Source organism: Homo sapiens, chromosome 10, assembly GCF_000001405.40.
Source record: "Homo sapiens chromosome 10, GRCh38.p14 Primary Assembly".
NCBI classification, from domain to species: Eukaryota; Metazoa; Chordata; class Mammalia; order Primates; family Hominidae; genus Homo; species Homo sapiens.
The window spans coordinates 54,145,695-54,161,127 of NC_000010.11; the positions used below are offsets into that span (position 1 = coordinate 54,145,695).

Consider the following 15,433-nt stretch of genomic DNA (forward strand, 5'->3'; position numbering starts at 1 on the left):
AATGTATGTTTTGTGGAACTAAAGAGAAGGGTGTAAGTAAAGCAGTAGTAAGAGTTAAGGTACAGAGGTGGGACTCATGGGCTATATCTGTTGATATAAACTTCATCTTGACAATGAGGCTCAGCTGGTAAAGTTTAAGCAGATTAGTGATTATAACCAAAAGTGCCAAGTCATTCACAGTTCTTTAACACACTACTTTGTTTTGTTTCTTTTGATCTTCTTGTTTCCTCTGCTGGGATATTCCATTATCATTCTTGCCCAGGTAAAACTGCACTTGTATTTATCTACTGCTATCTGTCTAGATTTACCTGTGCCTGCATCTGAATCCCATGTGGGCAGAGATCTCATTTTACTTGTTTTATATTTCTAGTACCTCCCCAAGAGACTAATATTTGTGGGAACTTAGACAATTTTTATAAAAATAAATGAATAAATAAATAGCCTCATCATTTTTTACTAATGATAAACTTAGCATGTACATTTGTCACTAGTAAAATGATCTTTTAAAGAGAAAATTGTATTTTAAAAAGAATGTATAATCACAATGGGAAAATAATTGTATTTCAAAGTAAATTATTTCATCTCATATTAATTAAACATAGCCTTGCATTTTATGAAAAGAATGGGAATTTAAAACGTATGTTAGCCCATGCATCAGTCATTTTTATCGTAATTTTATTAGAAGCTATTTGGGGAGAGAGAGTGTCTCTTATTATCTAATTATCAAACAGTAGTGCTTTATTCATGTTAGGATGAAGTAAATATTTACTTAATTTAATTGGATAACGTAAGTATAAGTTAACCAATATACACGACTAAAGAATATCCCAAAATAACTTAAGTGTTTTTTAAAAGCTTTTGGTTTTTATTTCTTCTGTATGCTTATCAAAGTCTCAAAAAAAAGTAAAACAAAACACTAAACTATGTACTATTCCTTCTCTCACTCTCTGAATCTTTAGCTGGTTTACTAAATTAGAATAACACAGACATACGTATTTCATTCATATTGGACTTATTTTCAGTCAATATTACTACATTTATGGATGAAAGCTGTCAATTTTAAAATAATAATATAGAAAACTGTCTAAATTCTGAAGCCTGCTGTCATTTTTTGATGTTATTATTTAGTTAGCTTACATGCCATGGTTGCTGGCTGGGTCGATCTGTAAAAAAAATCACTATATATATAGTGTGTGTATACATATATATATAGTGTATATATATAGTGTATATATATATAATGTATATATATAGTGTATATATATATAATGTATATATATAGTGTATATATATATAATGTATATATATAGTGTATATATAATGTGTATATATACAAATATATAATATATATATTTGTTCATAATCTTTAAATATAATCTTCCTTATAAAAGAAGTCTGAAAGCAAAGCCTCATAACTTTTCAGTTCATTCATCAATTCAATTTGAAGGATTAACTCCTCTCCAGAAAATAGCAAATATGATTATCCTACAGTGAACATGACATTATCTCAGCAGGTAGAATGGAAGTATATGGATTTTATTCTCTGCAGGTCCCACTTGATATTTCACCAAACATTCTAAGGTGAGTTTTTAGTATCCAAGACATTATTTAATGAAAATAAATGTGAAGCTAGGTCAACTAAATTTCTGATGTCACAGAAAAGACGTGTATACTCAGAATCTGAAGATGGCACTTTGTTTTCTGGCGTGGAATACAATTTTACTTAAGTAAAAAACATTTATTGTATTGATAATTATAGACAATATATTATCCAGGAAAATCAATGATATGTCTTACAAATAGAAACTGAGCAAAAAGAGGAATATAAGATCTCATTCATTAAATAATCAATAAAGTGATTTAAAACACTTCAAATGTAATATATTGGCCACATATAGATCAGACCAGATTTATTTAGCACAACACAATCTTCAATGAAAAATATGTATATATAATACCAACTTGTGGTTGGTTTTATTTTAATATTCAAGACTAATAAATTAAAAGTCTTGAATATTAAAAGACTTTAATAAAATCAAAATAAAAAAACAAAAGGTGACTTTGTTCTTATAAATAGCATTATTATCATTGCTACTAAACAATTATAGTTTTCCTCCACAACAGTAACTACAAAGATTATAGATATGAAACAGTGGAGGAAAAAGCTTTAAATCTAACAACTCTGAGTTCAAGTTATGGTCCTACTACTTGTTTACTAGGGGAGTGGAAGTGGGAAAGGGGACTGCTGAGCCAAGTCAATTATCCTATTTCAGCCTCAGATTTCTGGTGTGCAAAACTAAATTATGCAAAAGTCATGATGCTATTGTTAATATTAGAAATTATATATATAAAGGAGCTAGCAAGGTATCTGGTCCTAGTGTATGCTCAATAAGTATTATCAATCATCTTTAATTCCTCTTCAGAATAACCTAGCACAGATGAAGCTATTATTTAAAACGCACTCAAACCTTACTTGGCTCTTATTGTAGATTCTGTAACTACTCAATGTATAAAAGTATTCTATATATTTCTTCTAAGAAGGAGCCCTTAGCTGTTTATCAGGTTCAGGCATACAGAGTCCTCCCTCAGCATCCATGTGGGATTGGTTCCAGAGCCCATAAGGATACTAAAATCTGCAGATAATCAAGGCCCTGATAGAAAATGAGACAGTATTTGTATATAATCTATGCATATTGTCTCATACACTTTAAATCATCTCGAGATTACTTGTAATACATATAAAATATTAATGCTAATAGTTGTTATACTGTAGTTTAGAGAATAATGACAAAAAAAGTCTGCGCATGTTCAGTACAGATGTAATGTTCTCCCCAAATATTTTCAATTGTTGCACTTAGTTGAATCTACTGATGTGGAAGCCGTGGATATGGAGGGCCAAGTGTATATTTGCTTTTTGGATATATTAAGTTTGGCCACATCCAACTAAATGTGTCCAAAATTAAATTGATGTCCTCACCCAAGCCATGTGCACCCCTATTGACATCAACATGACGTCACCTTAAGCAAAACCCTGGGAAATATTTTATCTTATTTTTGACAAATCTATTTCTCTATTCTTCCTAACATACCCAGTTCAAAACATTAGCAGTATTTCCTGTAGACTCTTGTGCCTCTGCTCCCCTAAAATCTGCCTCCCACAGAGACAATCAGATGGATTTTACAAAAACATGTTTTCTCACTTGACTTTCTAATTTAAAAGTCTTTCCAAGAATTCCTCCTATTGACTAGATAAGTCTAAGTTTCTTATAAAAGAAAATTAAATTTTCTGTGGCATGGCCTTTTAATTTTCCAGCCCCACCTTGAATCAGTTTATGCCCCAGTAACACTGACTAATAATTATCTATAAACAAGAAGCTATTTCAGACCTTTGAGGCTGTGCAAATAGGGTCACATACTTCTTTTTCATTTGGTCAACCTCATCCTCTTATTGTGGGATGACTTCTTGGTACTCCTTCATTATCGTAAGTTCCCCATCAATAACCCCAGAAAGCCCAGAATTTACCTTAATCTCAAAATTGCTATGCTAAACTCAATTTAATTTATATTCTTTATATACTTTACTGTATTTTGGGGGCTTTCAAATGATGGTACTGTAGTTATCTTTGTTTTCCAGAATGTAGTAAATGGTAGTATGTAATAAATGGTTTGTTGGGCTGAAAGGAAACTTTTCCTATCACAGACACCTGAAGGAAATGAGGCCATTGAGAAATCTGAGAAAAGATCCATCCAGGCTGAGAGAAGATGAAAATCAAGCTCAAAAGCATATAGGTAGCTATGATCCTCAGAGATAGAGAGGAGACTGGTGCCACAACTGGAATGGACTAAGAAAAGCAGAGTTGAGTAGGAGATGAAATGTATAAACTGTTGACATGAGGGAGTGTCCTACCTGTAGTGATAGCTGACAAATTTCACTGAGCCCTTTTGAATTTATTTTAATGATTTGCCTTTTACTCAGAGTGAGGTGTGAAAGCACTGGAAAGCTTGAGTAATGGATTGAGATGTTTTCCATGTTACCAGGATCACCCAGGCTATTGTGTTGAGAAGAGATTGAAGAGAGCACAGGAAGACTTGTAATTGGAAGAAGTTTTCAACACTCTAGACTAGAGATTGCAGTGGCTTGGACTGGAATGCTAATAACCAAAGTGGCAGCAGTTGTTGCTTTCTGAATACATTTTTAGAGTAGAACACAGAGGAGTTGCTCCAGGTTATGTGTGGAGTTGGGGAGGAAGAGGGGCATTGAGGATGACTCTAAGGGTGTTTGGTCAGAGTGACTGCAAGATGGGAGACGCCTTAAACCTCTTATTGGATATAAAGTCACCAATAAGTTTGACAGGAGTACTGTTGAAATGAATGTCAGGCATGTAGGAAGTAAACTCTTCCAAGTGTGACTTCCAGTATGTAGATGACAATAGGATATGAGGTTAGAAAGAAGAAAATTTATTGGGAAGAGACCTATCATCTGTCGATGACAGCAAGGAGGGGTAATGGGCGTTATAATTATTTTTTGACACGAGATTCAAAGGAAAACAAACTATTGAGGAGGAGGAAATCTAGTTTAAAAATGTAAATGAGAATCTAATACTCCACCAACCGTATCTCTGTGATTAATGATGATCACACACCCTGCAAAGTTTAGTTACAGTCCATCAAGTTTCCTACACCTGGTGTAGTATTGAGTTATCTGACAAGTTTGATCTCGTAAGATTCTTGAGACTTCCTTTTTTTTTTGAACTAATATTAGTAAACTGTATCTTTTAGAAGAATCATCCATTTCTGTTTTCAAATTTTGCATACATTTAAGCAAAGTTGTCTCTGAATCCTACTTTTTTTCTATTTATATGTAGTTTCTTCATTAGATTTTATTGTATACAGTTTTACTTGTTCTTTTTTTCTTGATTAGGTTAGATAGTATTTTATCCAATTAATTATGTCTTTATTTTTGTTGTTTCTTTCCAGAGAACCAAATTCAGTCTCATTTATTTGTTTTATATATGTTTATAATACATTCATGTCTGATATTATAGTTATTAATTATTTTGGGGGATTTCTTGTGTTTTTATTTGTTTCTTTTATGAAGTATTATGACAACTATACATAATCTTGATAGGATTTCTCAAAAAGAAAAGTACAGACTAATTTTATTAAATAAAATAACAGCAAGCATATAATATCAGCTTATTTCAAGAGAAAAAAATTATGTCCTAATAGAATCTACACCATGGATGCAAAATAGATCCATCTAAGCCATGGATGCAAAATAGGAGCTATAGTAAGATCAGTCATTATATCATCAACTCAAGAAGAAAAGTCATTACTGTCCTCATATATGGTAGCTATTTATTTGATCTGAGAAAAGCACCATTACTATTTTAAAAAGTCAATAAAATAGAAATAGATGAGTATTTTTTTAACATATTAATAGTTTTTAAAACCATAGACCAATCTAATGGGGAAACACTGAGGCAGTCTCATTCAAGTCACAAACGAGACAAGCATTTTTATTGGAAGTATAATAGGAAATGAAAGTAAAGAAAGAAAATGGAGGCCAGGCGTCGTGGCTGATGCCAGTAATCCCAGCACTTTGGGAGGCTGAAGTGGGAGGATCAGTAGAGGCCAAGAGCTTGAGACGAGCCTGGGCAACATAGCAAAATTCTGATTCTACAAATTTGTTTTTAATTAGCTAGGATTGGTGGCCTGAACCTGTAGTCCCCACTACTAGTGAGGCTGAGGTGGGCAGATTGCATGAGCCCAGAGTTTGAGGCTTCCATTAGCCGGGATTGTGCCGCTACACTCTAGACTGGGAGACAGAGTTAGACCTGGGCTAGGGGGAAAAAATGTAAAAGAAAAAAAGCCTATTTACAATAAAAACAAAAGATGTAGAAATAGATCAAGTAAGAAATGTACAGAACTTACATAAAAAGAAAAACAAAAAGCCTGCTAAAAAACACAAAAAAATGCATGGACAAATGCAAATGCAAAATGTTCTTGGATAGAAAGATTCAACATCAAACATATATAATATATTCCTAAGTAATTAATATATAAATCTCTTGTGTTCCTAATAAAAACACAGTTAACAACAAAAACACTGAACTAGCTTATTTAAAGTCAAAGAGAAAACTTAACAGAAGGAGAGGGAACATTTTGGAGGGAAAACAGCATTGAGGTAAGTTAGTAGCACCAGAGGATAGAGCATACTATGTAAGCTTAATCATTAAAATTGTGTGGTAATAGGTTATAAAATATAAATAATAGAATTGAATAGAACATTTAGATCAAAATCAAAACACATAAGAAAATATATGATATAATAAATGCAACATCTCAAATTTGTTCATCATTGGATGAATATCACAATGTATTGTGTGGGGACCACAGAGTATTTGACTGGAAAGAACTATGGCTGCATTAATACCTCCTACTGTGTACTAAGATACATCTCAAATACAATAAAGATTTAAATATACAATATGAATCCACATAAACACTAGTAGAAAACGTAGAATAACTGTAATCTGGGCTTAACATACCAATATAAAAAACTGATATACTTGCACATATTCAAACTGATGCATGTTGAGTGTTAAATATTTCTCCATTGTCAATAAAAGAGGATAAATCGAAAAGTTTATCAATAATAGACTTCTTCTACAGTTTTATACTTATTAAGGAATATGTTTATCAATAATAGACTTCTTCCATAGTTTTATACTTATTAAGGAATATTACATAACTGTGAAAAAAATAATCTGAAGGATTTATCTAGTATCTACATGGAGAGGACTCCAGGATACATTCATTGTGAATGGAAAAAAACCCCAGCAAAGTGAAGGAATATATTAATATTTATTCATATTTTCTTGGAATGATACTGAAAATCTGGAAATAAACAATAAATTAACAAAAGGGATTTCTCAGGTGGGAGACTAGAAAGATGCAATTGTAATAGCAGGAAATCTTTTAGCTTGCTGTGTGTGTGTGTGTGTGTGTCTGTGTGCGAGTCTGTGTGTGTATACACATATTTAAATACATGTATTATTTTACATAACTATTTTAATTACCTATACACTCAGAAGTGACTTTGAAACCCTGAGACATTACATGCCACTGACACATCTGTTAATTTCTTTGAAGAAAAGAGCCTTTCTCTGTCTGCAGCCTTACTTTTCCATAATAAATTTGAAATATGCCTCTGATATTGTCCTCTTCCCAAAATTTAACCAAATCAGAATATGCATGCAGTTCCTGAGAATCTGGTCTCTCTGATTTTCTGATCTAATTTAGATGTTTATAGGATAAAAGAATACTTGCCGCGCTTCTTAAATTTAATTACAGGGTTAAACGGGCCCGATGAAAAGACTGCATTGGTTCTAATATAAATTACCTTCGCTCTGCAGGAGGAGCATTATCCGCTGCTTGGACCGTGAGTGCGTAAGTCCGCCCGACTATCATTTCCACCCCTGGAGCGATGGTGATAAGCCCTGTTGTTTTATTGATGATGAAGTCTCCCTGAGCCCCAACAAGGATTTCATATGTGATCTCCCCATTTGACCCTTCGTCTGCGTCGACTGCAGTGAGCTGGAATTGAAAATCACAACATAAATCCTCTTGGGTCTCAACTTTTCACCACCATGTCGTTTTTTCCCCCAACAAAAGAAGCTTGCTTTCAAAGAAAAAAACACAGGAAAGTTTCCTTGACATATATACTGTTTTTTGTTTTTTGTTTTTTTAACTGAGGCTACTGTGTCCTGTTACAATACTAAAGCAATCACAAAAATAAGAGTGATTTTGTTTTTTGTGAGAGTGATTAAGAAATAAACTTTGGATCTTGAAGGCTTATCTTTATTTTAATTTAATAAAGGGAAAAAGAGGAAAGCCCTAACAGAAAATCTAATATCCCTATAGGAAATTTATTTTTCCTGTCTTGCCTTGCATTCTTGACACATAAACTCATATTAAAACAGACTGAACCTGGAAAAAATGAAATAGGCATAGTCGGCCTTTGTTACTCCCAACCTTCCTTTTACTCTCATTTTTCCTTCCATAATGTTCTCCTCCCTGTCTCCCAGACACTCTCATCTTTGTGTCCTTTTTGTTTACAATTGCTCTAGGAAAGGTTATTAACTTGCACACCCTGATTTATAAAGGACTGATAAGTCGTAGAGTATTAATGTGTCAACAATCAAACAAATGCATCTCCCATTGTAGAATATCAAGGGTAACATAGCCCAAGAAATGTTTCTTTGGGGAAAGAAAATCTATTCGGAGCCCTTGAAATTAAGCATGTAAACATCTGTATAGCCAATTTACATATATCTATAATCATTTTGAAGGAACTGGTATCTAAAAGACTTTATTTGGGATATTATATGAAAAGATAACAATGATTAACTTCATCAAGCAACATTAAAGCAACAGTGATTTATTATATTAAAAGTGGCTCCTTGACTTGCTGATAAATATAAATTAAAGGGGAAAAAGAATATAAAGGGATTCTAGCAGAAATCTTATAGTAAGCATTTTACATACATCAATAGTATTTTCTGTATTCATCATACAAAAAGTGAAGAATGAAAGAAAGTGGTCTCAATTTACACATGAGGGAATATAATTAAAAGTTTTCTGTGGAATAAAGAAAACACATGTAATTGTAGTAAATTAACCTACCTGTAGAAATGTTTTATTTACTTATATTTATATTTTCAATACATTACTTCTAAAAATAGTAGTTTTTATAGTTTGCAGACTCCTTTGAAAATACAGTAAAGATGCTGGTATACCTTCCTTGATCAAATGTAAACATACACATTTACCTTGAAACTTGAATTCAATTTCAGAAACATCATATTAACTAATTTCCCATTCAAAAGTTCATGTTTAATATCCTCAATAAATGTAAACAAAGTACTTTATACACTGTACTGTGCTGAAGGGGTTATATTATGCATATTCTATTTTTTATTATATGTCATGCTTAGAGTGATAATGTCCATAGACATAGCAGCAAAAAATAATTGAGAATGAAAAAGGAAATGACATTAATGCAACTAAGTCCTGAGACTGGCTATTTGGGGGTGGACAGATGTGGTTGCTGGAAGGAAAGGCATTTTATGACATGATTCTGCGACTTGTATAAGCCTGACAGACATATTCCTAAAGGCAAAGGAGAAACATTTGCAGAAACAGTCAAAATGAATGGCATATATTTATAGAGAGCTATTCAAGCCAGACAAACTAATTCTGTTTTGTGTATGGATAAAATTAGAAAATTAGAGGATGGGGATAACAGAGGAGATATCAATTTTGATTATACTTAAATCACTTAAAATGTCTCAGGAAATCTTAATTAAAATTTAGCACAAATTGGATTCAATATTAACATTCTTCCTGGGACTTAAATTGGCTAAAGGAATGTAATGATAAATGGCAATGCATCAAGTTAAGAAAAGGTGTTAAGGAGTGTGCTTCAGGGATGTCAGCATTATAGCTGGTCTTATTTAACATTTTCATAAATGATGTTGGAAGGGAGGATAAGCTGGATGATAATTACATTGAAGAAGGTACCCACCTGGGAGATGCTAGAAATACCAAATAGTACTGCAAAACACAGGAGACAGAAACACCCACTAAATTGCAGAGATAGTCAACCACAGTTGAGCTAAGGTATTCAGGGAACACAATTAGCTCTGCAGAAATTATTAGGAGGTAGAAAGCTTAACAAGTACACAAAATAAGGATTCTATGTTTAAGTTACCTAGATAACACTATTTTTCAGTCTTTTACTACTAAATAATAAAATAATGGGTTATGAGTCAATATAATTTGTTTGCATGTATGCTAACAAAGATATTTTAAGGAAATTAATCGTAGTCCACCGTCAGAAAAATAAGCTGAGACACTGATTCTGAATACCCAAATCATAATAGTGTCTTCCATGTAAGATCCCGAAAACTCAAGACCTTTTTTTTTTTAAACCTCAACATTAGCAGGAGAATTGCTTGAACCTGAGAGGCAGAGGTTGCAGTGACCTGAGATCATGCCACTGCACTCCAGCCTGGCAACAGAGTGAGACTCTTAAAAAAAAAAAAAAAAAAAATCCAAAACCTCAACGACATTACACAGTAGATGTCCCCTTCTGAAGTCTATTAGATGATGTTGAATGGAGTTGTAGTTGCTAATTTTGGAGCTAACCTATGGCAAGAATTTAATTCAATTATAGTTCAATGACTCTGTGACCAGTAGATAGTGTCTATGAGATGGAAATATATGAAGCTCATTTCTAATTTAGCAGGGAAATCTGCTTCCTAAATGAAAAGGGCATTTATTTACATGGGGAGGCCAATATTTTGCTTACAAGTTTCAGATGAAAGTAAAAACAATACTATAACTTTAAAGTGTTTATTGAAACATTGTGATATCTAAAAGGTAAGAAATTGTGAGCTATTTGTTTTTTTTATTTCTTTTCGATGATGTTTTATAGTTCTATTCAGGAACTTTAGCCCTACCCTTTCATAATTCCTTCCTCTCAGTGTTTCAACATGTGCATATTCCAAATGTCCCCATCTGTATTAGTCTGTTTTCATGCTGCTTATAAAGACATACCTGAGACTGGGTAATTTACAAAGGGAAGGTTTATTGGAATGCCACGTGGAATTCCACGTGGGTAGGGAAGCCTCATAATCATGGCAGAAGGTGAAAGGTGCATCTTATGTGGCGGCAGACAAGAGAAGAGAGCTTGTGCAGGGAAGCTCCCCTTTTTAAAACCATCAGATCTCATGAGACTTGCTCACTATCACAAGAACAGCACAGGAAAGACTTGCCCCAATGATTCAATTACCTCCCACTGGGTCCTCCCACAACACGTGGGAATTCAAGATGAGATCTGAGTGGGAATACATCCAAACCATATCATTCCAACCCTGGCCCCTCCCAAATCTAATGTTCTCACATTTCAAAACCAATCATGCTTTCTCAACAGTCTTCCAAAGTCTTAACTCATTTCAGCATTAACTCAAAAGTCCACAGTCAAAAGTCCCTTCCACCTACGAGCCTGTCAAATCAAAAGCAAGTTAGTTACTTCCTACATACAATGGAGATACAGGCATTGGGTAAATACAGCCTTTCCAAATGGGAGGAACTGGCCAAAACAAAGGGGCTACAGGCCCCAAGCAAGTCCGAAATCCAGTGGGGCAGTCAAATATTAAAGCTCCAAAATGATCTCTTTTGACTTCATGTCTCACATCCAGGTCATGCTGATGTAAGAGGTGGGTTTCCATGCTCATAGGCAGCTCTGTCCCTTTGGCTTTGCAGGGGACAGCCTCCCCCCCAACTTTGTTTATGGGCTGGCATTGAGTGTCTGTAGCTTTTGCAGGTGCATAGTACAAGCTGTAGGTGGATCTACCATTCTGGGCTCTGGAGGACAGTGGCACTCTTCTCACAGCTCCACTGGTCAGTGCCCCAGTAGGGACTCTGTGTGAGGGCTCTGACTCTGCATTTCCCTTCTGCACTGCCCTAGCAGAGGTTCTCCAGGAGGGCCCTGCCCCTCAGCAAACTTTTGTCTGGGCAACCAGGTGTTTCCATACATCCTCTGAAATCTAGGCAGAGGTTCCCAAACCTCAATTCTTGACTTCTGTGCACCTGCAGGCTCAACACCATGTGGAAACTGCTGAGGCTTGGAGCTTGAAACCTCTGAAGCCACAGCCTGAGCTCTATGTTGGACCCTTTCAGCCATGGCTGGAGTGGCTGGGACACAGGACACCAAGTCCCTAGGCTGCACACAGAACAGGGACCCTGGGCCTGCCCATGAAACAATTTTTTCCTCATAGGCCTCTGGGCCTGTGATGAGAGAGGCTGCTGTGAAGACCTCTGACATGCCCTGGAGATATTTTCCCCATTGTCTTGGGGATTAACATTCAGCTTCTTGTTACTTATGCAAATTTTTGCAGGTGGCTTTAACTTCTCCTTAGAAAATGGGATTTTCTTTTATATTGTGTTGTCAGGCTGCAAATTTTCCAAACTTTTATGTTCTGTTTCCATTATAAAACTGAATGCACTTAACAGCACCCAAGACACCTCATGAATGTTTTGCTGCTAAGAAATTTATTCCGCCAGGTATCCCAAATCATCTCTCTCAAGTTCAAAGTTCCACAAATCTCTAGAGCAGGGGCAAAATGCCACCAGTGTCTTTGCTAAAACATAACAAGATTCACCTTTGCTCCAGTTCCCAAGAAGTTCCTCATCTCCCTCTGAGACCACCTCAGGCTGGACTTTATTGTCCACATCACTATCAGCATTTTGGACAAAGCCATTTGACAAGTCTCTAGGAAGTTCCAAATTTTCCCACATCTTCCTGTCTTTTTCTAACACTCCAGACTGCTCCAACCTCTGCCTGTTACTCAGTTCTAAAATTGCTTCCACATTTTCAGGTATGTTTTCAGCATCACCCCACTCTACTGGTATCAATTTACTGTATTAGTTAATTTTCACATTGCTGATATAGACATACCCGAGACTGGGCAATTTACAAAAGAAAACAGGTATTGAAATTACAGTTCTATATGGCGGGGAGGTCTCACAATCATGGCAGAAGGTGGTAGCAGATAAGAGAGGAGAGCTTGCGCAGGGAAACTTCCATTTTTAAAGCTATCAGATTGTGGGAGACTTATTCACTATCATGAGAACAGCAAGGGAAAATCTTGCCCCCATGATTCAATTACCTCCCACCAGATCCCTCCCACAATACTTGGGAATTCAAAATGAGATTTGGGTGGGGACATAGCCAAACCATATCACCATCAATCACCCATGTGACCACAAAATAATCTAAGTTGCTCCTAATGTTTCCTTTTAAATTTTGGCTGCAGTTTACTACTCTCTTTAATTGCTCTTTCCTGGTTCTGATAAAAAAAATACAGCTTGATATAAAAGGACAAATATAAAGATGATTGAATTGTGCATAAGCTGAACAAAAACATTCAAATTGGAGTCTCAAAAATGACACAGAAAGCCACAGTTGATATAAACCATATGCAAGAATATAAATTGTAATGCAAGAGTGTAAACACGGTATTTTATATGAATAAATATATTTTTTATTAGAAGTGAATTATGGGCCGGAAGCTGTGGCTCACGCTTGTAATTCCAGCACTTTGGGAGGCTGAGGTGGGCAGATCACGAGGTCAGGAGTTTGAAATCATCCTGGCTAACACGGTGAAACCCCATCTCTACTAAAAATACAAAAATATTAGCCAGGCGTGGTGGCGAGCACATGTAGTCCCAGTGTTTTTGGGAGGCTGAGGCAGGAGAATGGCATGAACCCAGGATGTGAAGCTTGCAGTGAGCCGAGATTGTGCCACTGCACTCCAGCCTGGGTGACAGAGTGAGAGTCTGTCTCAAAAAAAAAAAAAAAGTGAATTATGGCTTAATTGATAATGCATGAATGTGTTGATCATTTGATGTTTTTGCCTCTTGGGCATCCTTGGCTCTTGCTTCCAGTAAAAGTCCCTTATTTTCCTTTGGGGAGCAATTGGCAAAAAAACATGTCAAGTTATTCAAGTTGGTATAGTCAAGGTGACTCCTAGAACTACTGTAAAAGAGTGTTTTTTTCTTCCTCTAGGGCTAAACTGGTAAATTTATATCTGGTGTTTCTGCTGGCTTTCCAGTCTTCATTGGATGTACCTAAGACTGAGACCCATACAGAAGAAGACATGTCAAGAAATAAGCAGAAAATATCGCTCATGACATGGTTTCTGCTTATGCCTGAAACCAAATTCACCACTTTCTGATAGATTAAAAATTACATATTTTAAATGCTAATTTATTTTGAAATTATGTCTTTCAACCGTAAGAACCCTAAATATATAAAATAGTTTTGATGCTTAACTACTCTTCTTGGTTTGCTTTTTGATTATTTTTCTAGGATTATTGTGCTTCGAGATTTTGGTTTGAGATACCATGTAATCATTAATACAATAATGTAATATATAATTATTCATTACAATAGGCAAAGATATTGCTTGAAAGTGGTAGAATTGTCCCTGTATAGAAATAATATTGAATTACTCAATAAGTAAAAAAATACAGATAAATTAGCTGGTAAATATTTCCATCAAGAGAGGACAGACTCGATTTCAGGGAAATATTTAAATGAGTATTGCTTTGTTTTTTCTTCTTCATAATTTCATGGATAGAGGATTCATTCTTACATAGATATGAGCAACCTCAGCATACAATTTTTTTCATTATTAAGATGAGAACTTTCACATTTTAACTTAAAGGAAGCACTTTCATAGCTTCTCTTTGATATATATGAATTGCCAGAATCACTACTCCTGTGCTTTGGGACCATTGTTATGTAAAATAAGGGTACCACCACAGGTAATCTAATAACAGAGATAGCTTCTAAGTGACTCATGGGCAGGGAGCATAGATGTCCTGGAGATGCTGGACAAAAGGATGATTCATGCCCCCCCCAACAAGCTGGGGACAGAGTAGGACACCTCAAGATTTCATCACACTACTGAAAATGGCACAAAATTTAAAACTTTGGAATTGTTGATTTCTAGAATTTTCCATTTAATGTTCTCAGAATATAGTTGACCAAAAGTAATAGAAACCATGGAAAGCAAAACTGAGGACAAGGGAAGAATACTGTAAAAATAAACATGAACTGAGAGATTTACCTCACAGCATATGTAAAATTAACTCAAAATGCATCACAGACCTAAAGGTGAAAGCTACACTATGAATACTAGGAGAAGATAATATAGGAGAAAATCTTTGTGAATTTGGTTGGCAAATTTTCTTAAATATGACAGTAAAAGTATGATACAATAAAAAATAAACTTCCTAAAAATTAAAAGCTTTTTCTCTACCAAAAACATAAGAACATGATACATAAAATACAGATTATGTATTTGCAAAATATTTGCAGATCATATATCTGATAAAGGACTTGTATTTATAATTTATAGAGAATACTTACCAGTCAGTACTAAGAAAACAAACACAAATTTTTTAAATGAGTGAAAGATTTGAATAGATATTTCACCAAAGAAGATCAATAAATGGCTAATAAGCACATGGAAGTATCTCAAATTAATTTGTCATTAAGGGAACACAAAATCACAATGAGATACTAATAAGCATCTGTATAATGGCTTTAACAAATGAACTGACAATACTATCAGAGAGGATGTAGTGGGTGGTAAAATGGTACAAGCCACTGTTATTAAAAAGCAGTTTGACAGTTTATTTAAAAAGTATATATTTACCATGTAATCTAGCACTTTTCGTAAGATATCTATATATAACAAACAGAAAAATAAACATATATGTGTATATATATGTGTGTGTATATATATTTACATTTCCAAAAAGTGACTTATATAGAATATTCACAGTCACATTAAAC

At 34.7% G+C, this 15,433-nt stretch overlaps 1 protein-coding gene across 20 annotated transcripts in view; it reads right to left on the reverse strand.

The window, feature by feature from the left end:
• The window catches only part of PCDH15 (protocadherin related 15), a 1,825,172-nt gene that overhangs the window by 342,924 nt on the left and 1,466,815 nt on the right, over positions 1 to 15,433 (reverse strand). For all 20 annotated transcript variants that reach the window (XM_047425663.1, NM_001354420.2, NM_001354429.2 and 17 more), the window contains one exon: positions 7,406 to 7,599. In XM_047425663.1, coding sequence (XP_047281619.1) covers positions 7,406 to 7,599 — 194 coding nt within the window. The remainder of the gene's footprint in view (positions 1 to 7,405; positions 7,600 to 15,433) is intronic.